This window comes from Homo sapiens, chromosome 3, assembly GCF_000001405.40.
Source record: "Homo sapiens chromosome 3, GRCh38.p14 Primary Assembly".
Classification (NCBI taxonomy): Eukaryota; Metazoa; Chordata; class Mammalia; order Primates; family Hominidae; genus Homo; species Homo sapiens.
In genome coordinates, this window is record NC_000003.12 from 195,349,641 (window position 1) to 195,366,864 (window position 17,224).

The 17,224-nt window shown below is 40.1% G+C and overlaps 1 protein-coding gene and 1 pseudogene across 13 annotated transcripts in view; one reads left to right on the forward strand and one right to left on the reverse strand.

Moving 5' to 3' along the window:
• The window catches only part of ACAP2 (ArfGAP with coiled-coil, ankyrin repeat and PH domains 2), a 168,276-nt gene that overhangs the window by 74,896 nt on the left and 76,156 nt on the right, over positions 1–17,224 (reverse strand). For 9 of the 13 annotated variants that reach the window (XM_017006049.2, XM_017006047.2, XM_017006048.2 and 6 more), the window contains one exon: positions 15,842–15,925. The exons of the other annotated variants lie outside the window; for them this stretch is intronic. In XM_017006049.2, coding sequence (XP_016861538.1) covers positions 15,842–15,925 — 84 coding nt within the window. The remainder of the gene's footprint in view (positions 1–15,841; positions 15,926–17,224) is intronic. 13 annotated transcript variants of the gene reach the window in all.
• Positions 35–390, forward strand: RPL31P22 (ribosomal protein L31 pseudogene 22; annotated as a pseudogene).

Here is a 17,224-nt window from a genome sequence, read left to right on the forward strand (position 1 = left end):
TTTTCTAATTTGGGTCCAGCAGAACGGCTCCACAAAGATGGGCGGCAAGAAGAAACATCCTGCCATCGATAAGGTGACCCGAGGGTACACCAGCAACATTCAGAAGCACATCCATGGAGTGGGCTTCAAGAAGCATGGCCCTCAGGCACTCAAAGAGATCCAGAAATTTGCCATGAAGGAGATGGGAATTCTAGATGTGCGCATTGACACCAGGCAAAACAAAGCTGTCTGGAACAAAGGAACAAGCAATATCTCATAGGATCCCATATGTGGTTTTCCAGAAAACATGATGAGGCTGAACATTCACCAAACAAGCTCTATACATTGATTACCTATGTGTCTGTCACCACTTTCAAAAATCTGTCGAAAGTCAGTGTGGACAAGAACTAACCACTGATTGTCAAATAAAGTGAGCAAATCATACACACACAAATAGACAGAATCATGGCCCTCTACTTTGAGTAACACATATACTATTCAGATTAGAAGACTTATTATTAGCAAAATGTTGATTCACCTCAAATTGATCTATACATTCAACGCAATTCCACTCCAAATCTCAGTAGAAACTGAAAAGTTGATTCTAAAAGTTATATGAAAACATAAAGGACCTAGAATAGCCAAAATAACTTTGAAAAAGAGGAAAAGAGTTAGAATACTCATACTACCTGATTTCAAGACTTACTATGAAAGCTACAGTAATCAATGAAGTATGGTACTGTATAAAGACAGGTAAAGTCTGGGTACAGTGGCTCACGTCTGTAATCCCAACAGTTTGAGAGGATCACTTGAGCCCAGGAGTTGGAGACCAGCCTTGGCAACAAAGTGAGACCCCCCAATCTCGACAAAAATTCAAAAAATTAGCCAGGGGTGTAGCATGTGCCTGTGGTCCCAGCTACTCAGGAGGCTAAGGCAGGAGGATTACTTGAGCCCAGGAGGTGGAGGCTGCAGTGAGTCATTTTCATTTCACTGCACTCTAGCCCAGAAAACAAAGCAAGACTGTCTCAGGAAAAAAAAAAAAAGAAAAAAGACAAGCAAAAAGATCAATAAAGCAGAAATTACCCACGCATATGGTCAGCTTTTATTCATTTATTTTTTTTACAAAAGGTGCCAATAAAGATGGGAAAATGTACAGAGCAAGCTGGAGAGCCACATGCAAAGAATTTAATAATAATAGAGAGGAAAAAGAACTTCAACCGTTACCACAGAACATTTATAAAATTTAACTTGAAATAGATCATAGACCTAAACTTCCACAAGAAAACATTGAAAAAAATCTTACTGAATAGGGTTAAGCAAACATTTCCTAACAGAACACAAAAGAAAACTACAAAAGAACAAAATCAATAAACTGACTTCATAAAAAAAAAGTTTGATCTTTAAAAAACACTGCTACAAAAATGAAAAAGGCAAGCCAAAGCATGGAAGAAAATATCTGCAAAACATATAACAACTCAGTAAATATGAAGATAAATCCTTTTTTTTTTTTGGGCGGGGGACAGGGTCTTGCTCTGTCGCCCAGGCTGGAGTGCAGTGGTGTGATCTCGGCTCACTGCAACCTCCGCCTCCCAGGTTCAAGTGATTCTCCTGCCTCAGCCTCCCAAGCAGCTGGGATTACAGGGGCATGCCACCACGCCAGTTAATTTTTGTACTTTTAGTAGAGACAGAGTTTCGCCATGTTGCCCAGGATGGTCATGAACTCCTGACCTCAAGTGATCCGCCCGCCTCAGCCTTCCAAAGGGCTGGGATTACAGGCGTGAGTCACCACGCCAGGCCAATAAATCCATATTTTTTCTTTTTCGTGTGTGTGTGTGTGTGTGTGTGTGTGTGTGTGTGTGTGTGTGTGACGGAGTCTTGCTCTGTCACCCTGGAGTGCAGTGGCGTGATGTCAGCTCACTGCAAGCTCCACCTCCCGGGATCACGCCATTCTCCTGCTTCAGCCTCCCCAGCAGTTGGGACCACAGGCGCCCCCCACCACCACGCCCAGCTAATTTTTTGTATTTTTAGTAGACAAAGGGTTTCACTGTGTTAGGCAGGATGGTCTGGATCTCCTGATCCGTGATCCGCCCGCATCGGCCTCCCAAAGTGCTGGGATTACAGGCGTGAGCCACCATGCCCGGCCTAAATCCATTTTTTTAATGAACAAAAGATGACACTTCACCAAAGAAGATCCATAGATGGCAAAGAAACAAAATGCTCAACATCATTACTTATTAATAAGGAAATGCAAATTAAAACCATAAACAATTTTAGAAAGTGACTATGCCAAGTGTTGCTGAGCATGTGGAACCCCTGCACTCTTGTACACTGCTGATGTAAAATAGCACAATCCACTTTGCAAAACAACATTTGTGTAGGTTTTAATTTCTTTACAGATATTAACACTTTAAAGAAATGTAAAACAGTCATGTGCCGCATAATGACATTTTGGTCAAAGACAGGCCGCACATATAACGGTGGTCCCATAAAATTATAGTACTGTATCTGTACTGTACTTTTTCTATGTTTAAATACACAAATATCTACCATTATGTTACAAATGCCTAACGTATTCATTACAGAAACATGCTGTATAGGTTTGCAGCGTAAAAGCAATAGACTACACCACGTAGCCTAGGTGTGTAGGAGGCTACACTGCCTAGGTTTGTGATAAGTACATTCTATGATACTCACACAATGAAGAAATCACCTAACAACACATTTCTCAGAATGTTTCACTGTTGTTAAATGATGCGTGACTGTATTAAAAATTAATATAAACAATAAATAAAAGAAATTAAATATTTCCTTATTTTCTCTTAGCAATGGCTTACAGTCTTCACTTTAAAAATAGTAAACATTTAAGCATAACACTATCTTACAAACTAGCCGTTTTACACCTGGCTATTCACATAAAGAAATAAAACTATATGCCTACACAGATTTTTACATGTATTTTAATAAGCATTTTTATTTGTAATAGCCAAAACCTAAAAACAACCCCAAAGTCCATTGCGGTAGCTTTAAAATATGACAACAAATTCTTTAACACTGCTTTCTTCAAAAGCAGCCCCAATTCTTTGCTCTTTGAGTGTGGGCTAGATGGAGTGACTTACTTCTAGCAAACAGTATCATGAAGAAAGTAACAATGTGTGACTGCTGAGACCAGGTTATAAAAGGCATTGAAGCTTCCAGCCAGATGCAGTGTCTCAGCACTTTGGGAGGCTGAGGCGGGCAGATCACTTGAGGTCAGGAGTTCCAGACCAGCCTGGCCAACATGGTGAAACCCCAACTCTACTAAAAATACCAAAATTAGCTGGGTGTGGTGGCGCACATCTGTAATCCTAGCTACTCAGGAGGCTGAGGCACAAGAATCGCTTCAACCTGGGAGGCGGAAGTTGCAATGAGCCAAGGTCATGCCATTCACTCCAGCCTGGATGACAGAGTGAGACTCTGTCTTTAAAAAAAAAAAAAAAAAAGGCATTGGAGCTTCCTGTTTGCCCATGCTGCTCTTGGATCACTTGTTTTAGCAGTAACCAGATTTCATGTCATAAGGACACTCAAGCATCCCTGCAAAGAGGATCCTTGGTCAGAGGACCAGAGACTGAGGCAATCTCATGAAATTCCTGAGTCAGAGTCACCCAACTAAGCCACTCCCAAATTCCTGGCCCAGAAACTGTAAGATAATACATGCATGTTGTTTCATGCCACTAAGTTTTCAAATAATCTGTTATACAGCAGTAGATAGCTAATATAACCATCCACAGGTAGATGGATTTTAAAACTTGTGATAAATCCATACAATGCAATCGTATTGAGCAATAAAAAGGGAATGAAGGACTGAAACATGCAATATAATTGGACCTCAAAATAACACTGAAGAAACTAGACTACAAAAGTCCATTTACATACAATTCTAGAAAATGCAAACAAACCAATAATGATAGCAGATTCACGACAGACTAGGAATGAGGGAAGAAGGGAGAGAAACAGAAATTACAAAGTGGCAAAGAAAAACTTTTAAAGCATGATTGTTATATTCACTAAATTATTTGTAGCGATTTCATGGAGATGTGTGGATCTCAAAAGTTATCAAATTGTATGCTGTAACTATGCAGTTTATGTCAATTATTCCTTAATAAAGTTGTTAAAAAAACATCATTATATTCCAAAGAGAAAAGCAGAACATTTTTCTCTTTTCTGCTTTTCAACTTTTTTTTAACTTTTAGGTTCAGGGGTGCATGTGCAGGATGTGGAGGTTTGTTACATAGGTAAACGGGTGTCACAGGGATTTGTTATACAGATTATTTCATCACCCAGGTATTACACCTACTATCCATTAGTTATTTTTTCTGATCCTCTCCCTCCTCCTACCCTCCCACTCCAATAAGCCACAGTATGTGTGGTTCCCCTGTATGTGTCCATGTGTTCTCATCATTTAGCTCCCCCACTTATAAATGAGAACATGTGGTATTTGGTTTTCTGTTCCTGTGTTAGTCTGCTAAGGATAATGGCCTCCAGCTCCATCCATGTTCCTGCAAAGGACATGATCTCATTCTTTTTTATGGCTGCATAGTATTCCATAGTGTATATGTACGTATGCATTTTCTTTATCCAGTCTACCACTGATGGGCATTTAGGTTGATTCCACGTCTTTGCTGTTGTGAATAGTGCTGCAATGAACATACACATACATATGTCTTTATAATAGAACTATATTCCTATGGTTATATACCCAGCAATGGTATCTCACCCAGCTGATGTGAGATGGTATATCTCATTGTGGTTTTGATTTGCACTTCTCCAATGATCAGTGATGTTGAGCTTTTTTTATATGAGTGTTAGCCACATGTATGTCTTCTTTTGAGAAATGTCTGTTCATGTCCTTTGCCTGCTTTTTAATGGGGTTGTGTTTTTCTTTATAATTTAAGTTCCTTATAAATTCTGGATATAAGAGCATTATCAGATGAATAGTTTGCAAATATTTTCTCCCGTTCTATAGGTTGTCTGTTTACTCTGCTGACAGTTTCTTTGATTGTGCAGAAACTCTTTAATTAGATCCCATTTGTCAATTTTTGCTTTTGTTGCAGTTGCTCTTAGCAACTTCATCGTGAACTCTTGGCCCATACATATATCCTGGATACTACTGCCTTTAAAATGTAACATTACCAAAATTAAATTTTCTATACACTTGAATAGAATGTCAAGTATTTCATGAAATTAGATGTCAGTAATCTAGACTATTTACTGGCTTTGTTTTGGAGACAAGAGTCTCACTCCATCACGCAGGCTGGAGTGCAATGGCATGATCTCAGCTCACTGTTACCTGTACTTCCCAGGTTCGAGCAATTCTTGCGCCTTAGCCCTCTGAGTAGCTGGGACTACAGGCATGTGCCACCATGCTCAGTTGATTTTTGTATTTTTACCAGAGACGGGGTTTCGCCATGTTGGACAGCCTGATCTCGAACTCCTGACCTCAGCCTCCCAAAGTGCTGGGATTACAGGTGTGAGCCACTGTGCCCAGCCACAATAATGTAGGCTATATACTTTTAATACTTCCATTAGTGTGAAAAGTATGTTGTCAATAAAGCAACAGTTCTGTCTCTGACTTGCCAATTCTCAAGCCACAGCTATCTAACAGCTAATTCTTTTCTTTTTCTTCTTTTTTTTTTTTTTTTTGGTAGTTATTGTTGTTCTTAAAGCCCTTCCTCATGGACAGCTAACTCTTTTCTATATTAAACTGCTACACAGAAATTCCTCAATTCATCTACTGGTATCTAAGTCTCCAGTCTATACTTTCCCAGGAGAAAATTCACACATTTTCCCATCATAAAAAGTTTAAAAGCCACCAACAGAAAAGCTAAGGTTCACTTATATTTCTGGAAATTAACAGTATTATTCCAAGCAACACATGTATTACAAATAATCAAAAATGTCAGTTGACCAATCTGCTCATTATAAAATGAACTTACAAAAGTGCATAGAATAATATATGACTCTTTAAAACCAACAGCTCACACTAAAGTTATTCCTCATACATGTATGACCACAGTTAAAGCAGCACTATCTCTGCTCTCTTCAGGAAAGGAGGAAAGCTAAGACGCACTTCAAAGATCTAGTCCAGAAAGGTTAGTAAAAGAGTAGGCTGCATAACCATAGAGAGCATTATCCCCATTTCCAGTTCTTACAAGTAAGGTGACTTTGGCTCTAAGTATACATTTTGTAGTTTCAAGTCCTTGTGATTTATTTAAATATTATTCAGGGCCAGGCAAAAGACTCCATTGCAACAAAAATTAAAAATAGAAACAAGCTGGAATGGGAGGCAGAGCAATATGGCCAAATAGAAGCCTCCACCGATTGTCCTCCCTGCAGGAACACCAAATCTGACAACCACCTACACAAAAAGCACCTTCATAAGAACCAAAAATCATGTGAGCAATCACAGTACCTTCATATTGCTGAAAGAGGCAGTGAAGAGGATAGAAAAGACAGTCTTGAATTGCTGACCCCAGCCCTCCCCCATGCGCTCGTAGCAACCACAGGGCACAGAGGAAGAATCTGCGCTGCACACGGGGAAAGAGCACAGCAACTGTGGGACTACAAGCCGGAACGCAGTGCTGCCAATCCCGGCAGAACTCAGCCAATGCCAATGAATGGAGCATTTAGACCAGCCCCAGGGACAGGACAATCACACAGCCTGGAGGTTGGAACTGGAGTTTCTGCAAGCCTCGCCACCACAGGCTAAAGTGCTCTGGGGTCCTAAATAACAGTAAAAGGCAGGCTAGGTCACAAGGACTGTAACTCCTAGGCAAGTTGTAGTGCTGGGCTGGGCTCAGAGCCAGTGGACTTGGAGGTACATGACCTAGTGAGACACCAGCCAATGCGGCTAAGGGAGCGCTTGTGTCACACATCTCCCAATCAAAGGCAGGAAGGCTCCCAGCTCCAAAAGAGATTCCGTCCTTCTCCTTGAGAAGAGGAGAGGAAAGGATAAACAGGACTTTGTTTTGCAACATAAATACCATCTCAGCCACAGTTGAATAAGGCATCAGGCAGAGTCGTGAGGTCCCCATTCTAGGCTCTAACTCCCGGGTGATATTTTTAGACACACCCTGGGCCAGAAGGAACCTGAAGGGAAGGATCAAGTCCAGGAAGAATTCACCACTTGCTGACTAAAGAGCCCTTAGACCCTGAATAATCACCAGCAGCAACCAAGTAACACACACTGTGGGCCTCAGCTAAGACTCAGACATGCAGACTTCAGGTGTGACCCGGCATATTCACAGCTGCGGTGGCTACGAGGAAAGACTCCTTCTGCTTGAGAAAAGGGGAGGGAAAAATAAAGGGGATTTTGTCTTGCAGATTAGGTACCACCTCAAACATAGTTGGGAGGAGCACCAAGTGGGTTCGTAGGGTCCCTGATTCCAGAGAACACTGGACGGCACCTCTGGAACTACCCTAAGCCAGAAGGGAACTCACTGCCCTGAAGGGTGGGTCCCAGGAATGGCGACATTCATGAAAAGCTGAGCCCTTGGGCCTTAAGTGAACAGTGACAACATTGTGGCAGTACTCCCTGTGGGCCTGTGTGGAGGTGGACACAGGGGGTGACTCCACTGCCTGGGGAGAGGAAAGGGATGGGTGGGAAGGACTGTGTCTTTTGATTTCAGTACCAGCTTAAACATAGTTGAATACAGTGCCAGGGAAATTTCTAAGGTTTCCGATTGCAGGCCCTGACTTCCAGGCACTCTGAACCTGTCCGGAGCCTGGAGCCCAGAGGAATTCACCACCCCGAAGGGAAATACACAAGAATGACTAGCTTCAGCCACTCTTGAAATAATGACTATAGCCTGAGTGCCTTAAGAGAACACAGCTTGCAGCCAGGTAATAGTTACAGCAGGACATGGGCAAGACACGGTGCTTTGCTGGCTTCAGATCTGACGAAGTACAGTCCCAACGATGGCGGCGACAGGAGTGCTTGTATCACCCCTCTCCAAGCTGCAGGCAGCTTAGCCAGAGAGAGAGAGAGACTGCACTCATTTTGGAGAAAGTAAGGGAAGAAAACAAGAGTCTCTACCTGGTAATCCAGAGAATTCTTCCAGATGTTATCCAAGACCACAGTATTAGTCCATTCTCACACTGCTATAAAGAACTGCCTGAGACTGGGTAATCTAGAAAGGAAAGAGGTTTAATTGACTCACAGTTCTGCATGGCTGGGGAGGCCTCAGGAAACTTACAATGATGGCAGAAGGCAAAGGGAAAGCAAGGCATCTTTTTCACAAGGCAGCAGAGGGGAGAATGAACGCAGGAGGAATTACCAAACACTTACAAAACCATCAGATCTCATGTAATGCAATCACTATCACCAGAACAGCATGGGGGAAACCACTCCCATGATCCATTTAGCTCCACCTGGTCTCTCCCTTGACACGTGGGGATTATGGGGATTACAATTCAAGATGAGATTTGGGTGGGGACACAAAGCCTAACCATATCAACCACCAAGCTGGTATCTCTATAAGTGTCCAAGAACTACAGCATTACTAGTCTTGGGGTGCCCTCTAATGCAGATACAGCTGTAGGGACCAAAAACCTAGATAATAACAACTAAGTAGGTTTGAATACTTGGATAGCCTTCTCAAGAAGGATGAGTACAAACAAGCCCAGACTGTGAAGCCTACAATAAATATCTAATTCTTCAATGCCTAGATAATCACAAATATCCACTAGCATCAAGACCATTGAAGAAAACATAACCTCATCAAAAGAACTAAATAAGGCACCAGGGGCAAATCGGAGCAATGGAGATATGTGACCTTTCAGACACAGAATTCAAAATAGCTGCTCTGAGGAAACTCAAAGAAATACAAGATAACAGAGAAGAAATTCAGAATCCTATCAGATGAATTTAACAAAGAAATAATTTTTAAAAACCAAGCAGAAATTCTAGAGTTGAAAAATGCACTTGATATTTAAAGAACGTATCAGAGTCTCTTAACAGCAGAACTGATCAAGCAGAAGAAAGAATTCCTGAGACTTATGAGCCCTGTTTAAAAACAGAGAAGAAAAAAGAATAAAAAAGAATGAAGCATCCCTGTAAGATCTAGAAAACGGCCTCAATAGCAAATCTAAGAGTAAGGTAGAAAGAGAGAAATAGAAAGTTTATTCGAAAGGATAGTAACAGAAAATTTCTGAAACTGAGAGAAAGATACAAAACTTCAAGTAAAAGAAGGTTATAGAATACCAAGTAGATTTAACCCATTATTAGTTTAATAATCAAATTCCCAAAGATCAAGGATAAAGAAAGGATTCTAAAAGCAGCACAAGAAAAGAAACAATACAATGGAGCTCCAAAACATCTAGCAGTAAACTTTTCAATGGAAACCTTACAGGCCAGGAGAGAGAGTAGCATGACATATTTAAAGTGCTGGCAAAAAACTTTTTTACTCTAGAATAGCATATGAAGCAAAAATATCCTTCAAACATGAAGGATAATTAAAGATTTTCCCAGACAAACAAAAGTTGATGAATTTCATCAACACCAGACCTGTCCTACAAGAAATGCTACAGGGAGGTTCTTCACTCGGAAAGAAAAGGAGATTAATGAGCAAGAAGAAATCATCTGCAGGTGCAAGGCTCACTGGTGACAGTAAGTAGTACAAAGACAAACACGGAATACTATAACACTGTAATTGTGCTGTGTAAACTACTCCTATCTTAAGTATTAATAGAAAGGTGAAAAGATAAACCAAAAATAATGAGTATACCTTTTCAACAGAGACAATACAATAATATACACAGGGAAACAGTAAAAAGTTACAAAGTGAGGACACAGTGTTAAAGTATTGAGTTTTTGTTTGTTTGTTTGTTTTGAGACAGAGTCTCGCTCTGTCACCCAGGCTGGAGTGCAGTGGCGTGATCTCTGCTCACTGCAAGCTCTGCCTCCGGGGTTCACGCCATTCTCCTGCCTCAGCCTCCCAAGTAGCTGGGACTACAGGCGCCCGCCACCACGCCCGGCTAATTTTTTGTATTTTTAGTAGAGACGGGGCTTCACCGTGTTAGCCAGGATGGTCTCGATCTCCTGCCCTCATGATCCGCCCGCCCCAGCCTCCCAAAGTGCTGGGATTACAGGCGTGAGCCATCGCGCCTGGCCTAAAGTACTGTGTTTTTATTAGTTTTCTTTTTGTTGGCTTGTTTATGCAATCAGTGTTGATTTGCTACCGTAAGATACTATTTGCAAGCCTCATGGTAACCTCCAATCTACAAACATATAATAAATAAGCAAAAAATAAAAAGCAAGAAAAGAAAACATAACACCAGAGAAAATCACCTTCATTAAAAGGAAGACACTATGGAAGAGAAGACCACAAAACAACCAGAAAACAAATAACAACATGGCAGGTGTAAATCCTTACTCATCCATAACATTGAATGTAAATGGACTACACTCTCCAGTCAAAAGACAAAGAGTGGCTGAATGGATAAAGAAACAAGACGCAATAATCTGTTGCTTACAAGAGACACATCTCACCTATAAAGACAAAAACTGAAAATAAAGGAATGGAAAAAGATATTACATGCAAATGGAAACCAAAAGGAACAGAAACAGCTATATTTATATCACACAAAACAGACTTCAAGAAAAAAAAATTTTTAAGAGACAAAGAAGGTCATTATAATGATAAAGGGTTCAATTCAGCAAAAGAACATAACAAGTATAATTATATATGTACCAAACACTGGAGCACCAAGATATATAAAGCAAATATCATTAAAGCTAAAGGGAGAGACAGACCCCAATATAATAACAGCTGGAGACTTCAAAACCCCACTTTCAGCACTGGACAGATCATCCAGACAGAAAATCCACAAGGAAACATCAGACTTAATCTGCACTACAGGCCAGGTGCAGTGGCTCATGCCTGTAATCCCAGTACTTTGGGAGGCCAAGGCGGGCGATCACCTGAGGTCAGGAGTTCGAGACCAGCCTGGCCAACATGGTGAAACCCCATTTCTACTAAAAATACAAAGCTAGCTGGGTGTGGTGGCACGTGCCTGTAATTCCAGCAGTTTGGGAAGCCAAGGCAGGAGAATCACTTGAACCCAGGAGGCAGAGGTTGCAGTGAGTTGGGATCGTGCCACTGCACTCACTCCAGCTTGGGCGACAGAGTGAGACTCCATCTCAAAAAAATAAAAAAAAAAGGAAAAAGAAAAGAAAAAAAAAATCTGTACTATAGACCAAACAGGCCTAATGAATATTTAAGAACATTTCATTGAGGGGGTGTAGAACACACATTTTTCTTCCCAGCACATGAATCATTCTTAAGGACAGACCATATTGCTAGGTCACAAAACAAGTGGTAAGAAACTCAAAAAAAAAAAAAAAAAAAACCTGAAATAATATCAAGGATCTTCTCCGACCACAATGGAATAAAACTGGAAATAATGAGGAATTTTGGAAACTATATAAACACATGGAAATTAAACAATATGCTCCTGAATGACCAGTGGGTGAATGAATAGATTAGGAAAGAAACTGGGCTGGGCACAGTGGCTCAGGCCTATAATCCCCACATTTTGAAAGGCCAAGACAGGCAGATCACTTGAGGCCAGGAGTTTGAGACCAGCCTGGCCAACATGGTGAAACCCTGTCTCTACTAAACAATACAAAAATTAGCCAGGTGTAATGGCATGCACCTGTAATCTCAGCTACTCAGGAGGCTGAGGCATGAAAATCACTTGAACCCAGGAGGCAGAGGTTGCAGTGAGCAGAGATTGTGCCACTGCAATCCAGTCTGGGTGACAGAGCAAGACTCTGTCTCAAAAAAAAAAAGAAAAGAAACTAAAAAATTTATTGAAGCAAATGATAATGGAAACACAACAAACCGAAGCCTATGTATGGGATATAGTAAAAGCAGTATTAAGAGGAAAGTTTATAGCTAAGAGTGCCTACATCAAAAACAAAATACCTTCAAATAAACAACCTAATGATGCATCTTAAAGAACTAGAAAAGCAAAAGGAAACCAAACCTAAACCTAAAGTTAGCAGAAGAAAATAAATAAAGACCAGAGCAGAAATAAATGAAATTAAAAAGAAGAAAACAATACAAAAATCAACGAAACAAAAAGTTGGTTTTTCAAAAAGATTAAAAAACTGACAAACCTTTAGCCAGACTAAGAAAAGAGAAGACCAAATAAAAAAATCAGAGATGAAAAAGGAGACATTATAACCCATACTGCAGAAATTCTAAGGATCATTACAGGCTACTATGAACAACTATGCACCAATAAATTAGAAAACCTAGAATAAATGGATAAATTCCTAGACACATACAGCCTACCAAGATTGAAGCACGAAGAAATCCAAAACCTGAACAGACCAGTAACAAGACCAAAGCTCAAATAAAAAGTCTTCCAGGCTGTGCCCGGTGGCTCACTCCTGTAATCCTAGCACTTTGGGAGGCCAAGGTGGGTGGATCACCTGAGGTCAGGAGTTTGAGACCAGTCTGGCCAACATGGCTGAAACCCCGTCTCTACTAAAAATACAAAAAAATTAGCCAGGCGTGGTGGCACTTGCCTGTAATCCCAGCTACTCAGGAGGCTGAGGCAGGAGAATTGATTGAACCTCGGAGACAGAGGTTGCAGTGAGCCGAGATTGCGCCACTGCACTCTAGCCTGGGCAACAAGAGTGAAAACTCCATCTCAAAAAAAAAAAAAAAAAAATCTTCCAGCAAAGAAAAACCTGAGACCAGATGGCTTTACTTCAAAATTCTACCAAACATTTAAAGAACATCTAATACCAATCCTACTCAAACTATTCTGAAAAATAGCAAAGGAGGGAATACTTACAAACTCATTCTATGAGGCCAGTTATTACCTTGATACCAAAATCAGACAGAGATGCATAAAAAATAACCACACACACACACAAAACTACAGGCCAATATCTCTGATGAACACTGATGAAAAAATCCTCAACAAAATATAAGCAAACTCAAATTAAACAACACATTAAAAGGATTACCAACTGGGATTTAATCCAGGAATGTAAGGATTCAACATATGCAAATCAATGTGATACATAAAATTAAAGACAAAAACCATATGATGACTTCAATTGATGCTGAAAAAGCATTTGATACAATTCAACATAATAAAAACTCTCAAAAAACTGGGTATAGAAGAAACATACCTCAACATAATAAAGCCCATATACAACAGATCCAGAGCTTGTATAATAGTGAATGGGGAAAAACTGAAAGCCTTTTCTCTAAGATCTGGAAGAAGACAAGGATGCCCACTGTCATCACTGTTAATCAACTTATTATGGAAGTCCTAAGCTAGAGCAATAAGACAAGAGACTAAAATAAAAGCATCCAAATTGGCAAGAATAAAGTCAAATTATCCTTGTTTGCAAATGATATGACCCTATATTTGGACTAAAGACCACCAAAAAAACTATTACAACTGATAAATTCAGTAAAGCTGCAGGATACAAAATCAACACACAAAAATCAGTAGCATTTCCATAGGCCAACAGTGAAGAATCTGAAAAAGAAATCAAGGAAGTAATCCCATTTACAATTGCTACAAATAAAATTAAATACTTAGCAATTAACCAAAGAAGTGAAAGATCTCCACAATTAAAACTATAAAACATTGATGCAAAATGTTGAAGAGGACACAAATTAATGGAGAGACATTCTATGTTCATGAATTGGAAGAACTAATATTGTTAAAATGTCCAGGCCGGGCACGGTGGCTCATGCCTGTAATCCCAGCACTTTGGGAGGCTGAGATGGGTGGATCACCTGAGGTTGGGAGTTCGAGACCAGCCTGACCAACATGAAGAAACTCCGTCTCTACTAAAAATACAAAATTAACTAGGCGTGGTGGCACGCACCTGTGGTCCCAGCTGCTCTGGACAAAGAAAAAAGTAAAAGAAAAATACCAATGACAATCTTCACAAAAATAGAAAAAAAATCCTAAAAATTTATATGAAACCACATACACACACACACACACACACACACAAAAACAGAATAGCCAAAACTATCCTAAGCAAAAAGAACAAAACTGAAGAAATCACATTACCTCAAATTATACTACAGAGCAATAGTAACCAAAGCAGCATGGCACTGGCATAGAAACAGACACACAGACCAAAGGAACAGAATAGAGAACCCAGAAACAAATCCATACATCTAAAGTGAACTCATTTTCGACAAAGGTGCCAAGAACATGCAACAGGGAAAGGGCAGTCTGTTCAGTAAATAAAGCTCAGACAACTCCACTGCAGAAGAACGAAACTAGAGCCCTATCTCTTGCCATATATAAATATCAAATCAAAGTGGATTAAAGACTTTAAGACCTCAAATTATGAAACTACTAAAAGAAAACATTGGGGAAATTCTCCAGGACATTGGACTGGATAAAAATTTCTTAATACCCTACAGAAGCACAGGCAACCAAGGCAAAAGTGGACAAATGGAATCACATCAAGTTAAAAACCTTCTGCATAGCAAAGGAAACAATAAAGTGAAGAGACAATCCACAGGAGAAAATATTTGCAATCTATCCCTCTAACAAGGAATTTATAACAAGAATATTATAAAGGGCTCAAATAACTAGGAAAAAATCTAATAATCTAATTAAAAATGGGCAAAATATCTGAATAGACGTTTCTCAAAAAAGACATACAAATGGCCAACAGGCATATGAAAAGGCACCCAACATCAATGATCATCAGCGAACGCAAATCAAAACTACAATGAGATTATTTCACACCAGTTAAAATGGCTTTTATCCAAGGCTGGGTGCAGGGGCTCATGCCTGTAATCCCAGCACTTAGGGAGGCCGAGGCAGGAGAATAACTTCAACACCGGAGATGGAGGTTGCAGTAAACTGACACCCCGCCACTCTACTCCAGCCTGGGTGACAGAGCAAGACTCTGTCTCAAATAAATAAATAAATAAATAAAATAAAGGTTTTTATCCAAAAAACAAGCAATTAACAAATGTTAGTGAGGATGTGGAGAAAAGAATACCCTTGTACACTGTTGGTGGGAATGTAAATTAGTACAACCACTAAGGAAAACAGTTTGGAGATTCCTGAGAAAACTAAAAATGGAGCTACCATACCATCCAGCAATCCTACTCTCAGACGTATATCCAAAACAAAAGAAATCTGTGTATCAAAGAGATATATGCATTCTCACGTTTACTGTAGCATATTTACAGTAGCCAAGATTTGGAAGCAACTTAAGTGTACATCAACAGATGAATGGTTGCAGAAAATGTGGTACATATACACAATGCAGTACTAGTCAGCCATAAAGAAGAATGAGATCCTGTCATCTGCAACAACATGGACGAAACTAGACGTCATTATGTTAAGTGAAATAAGCCAGGCACAGAAAGATAAACCTCGCGTGTTCTCACTTATTTGTGGGAGGTAAAAATTAAAACAATTGAACTCATAGAGAGTAGAATGATGGTTAGCAGAGGCTGGGAAGGCTAGGTGGAGGGTAGGGGGACGTGGAGGTGGTTAATGGGTACAAAATACAGTTAGAAAGAATGAATAGAACCTAGTATTTGCTAGCACAACAAGGTGACTATAGTCAAAAATAATTTAACTGCTCATTTTAAAATAACAAGGTGTATAACTGGATTGTTTGTAACACAAAGGATAAATGCTTGAGGTGTTGGATACCCCATTTACTCTGATTATTACACATTATCAAAATATCCCATATCACATATCCCCTAAATACACACCTACTATGCACCCACAAAAATTTTAAATAAAAAAATGTTGCTAATATTGTTTTAAAGAACAAAATTATCAGGGCATTGTGGCATACACCTACCATCCTGAGGTGGGAGGATTCCCAGAGCAGTGCTATGATCATGCCCCTGCACTCGAGCCTGAGTGACAAAGGGAGACCTTGTCTCTAAAAAAAAAAAAACACATTAAGTATTACTCAGCTACCATAGCACTCTCTTCTGATGATTCTCCATGACATAATCATTCCTGTCCTTTCCGGAATCTATAGAAAAGGGCAAGGCTATGGCTTGTGCCACTATAGATTCATTGGATCTTTTGGTTAATCTCATTAGGCCTAAAATCAATGAAGAGAAAGAGAACTCTTCTTTGCAATCATCAGGAATTGCTCGCAATATGTCAATGAATATTATTTATTCCTCTCTACTTCATCTGCCTATAGTAATTTTTTTTTTTTTTTTTGAGACAGTGTCTTCCTTTGCCGCCTAAGCTGGAGTGTAGGTGGCGCGACCTTAGCTCACCGCAACCTGCACTTCCTGGGTTCAAGCAATTCTCCTACCTCAGCCTCCTGAGTAGCTGGGATTACAGGCACGCGCCACCACACCCGAATAATTTTTGTATTTTTAGTAGAGATGGGGTTTCACCACGTTGGCCAGGCTGGTCTCGAACTCCTGACCTCAAGTGATCTGCCCACCACCTTGGCCTCCCAAAGTGCTGGGATTACAGGCGTGAGCTACCATGTCTGGCCCTTCTACCTGTACTAATTTGTTTCTCCAAACCTTTTCTTCCTTCCTCTAAGGCAGTGGTTCTCCACTGGCTTAGTGTTGTATCACAATCACATGGAAAACTAAAAGAAAATACAAAGATGCAATCTTGTTGAAGAAACATAGGCTGCTTCTATATTTTTAGGAAGTTTGCCAGATGATTCTGTTATACAAACATTGGTACCAAACTGCTCTACCCAGTGGTTCTCAAATTGGTTGCACATTGAAATAACTTGGGCAACTTTTAAATACACAGATGTTGCAATAATTAGAGACACTGGTGACTCCAGAATCAGTATTTTAAAAGCTTGCCAGGTGTGACCAAACATTACCGCCATCACCTGGGAGCTGGTCAGAACTATAGAATCGCTAGAACCACCCCAGTCTTGTTAGAAATGGAGAATCTGAATCTGCATTTACCAAGATCTCCAGGTGGTTTGTTTACAGGAAACAATCCACTGTTTCTTAAACTGGGCTGCAGACTAGAATGACATGGGGAGCCTTAAAAATTACTAATGCCTGCTTCTTATTCGCAAACAATCTGGTTTTAATTAGCCTGGTTCATCCAACACCATTTTACTGAGAAGAATTCATGAAAGGCAGTTAAACCACTAAGTCACATTCACTAACATTAAAAGGACCACTCTTCAGTGTGTGTCATGGCAGATACAGTCTCCGTAAATGGGAAAAATGAAGGAGTCCTT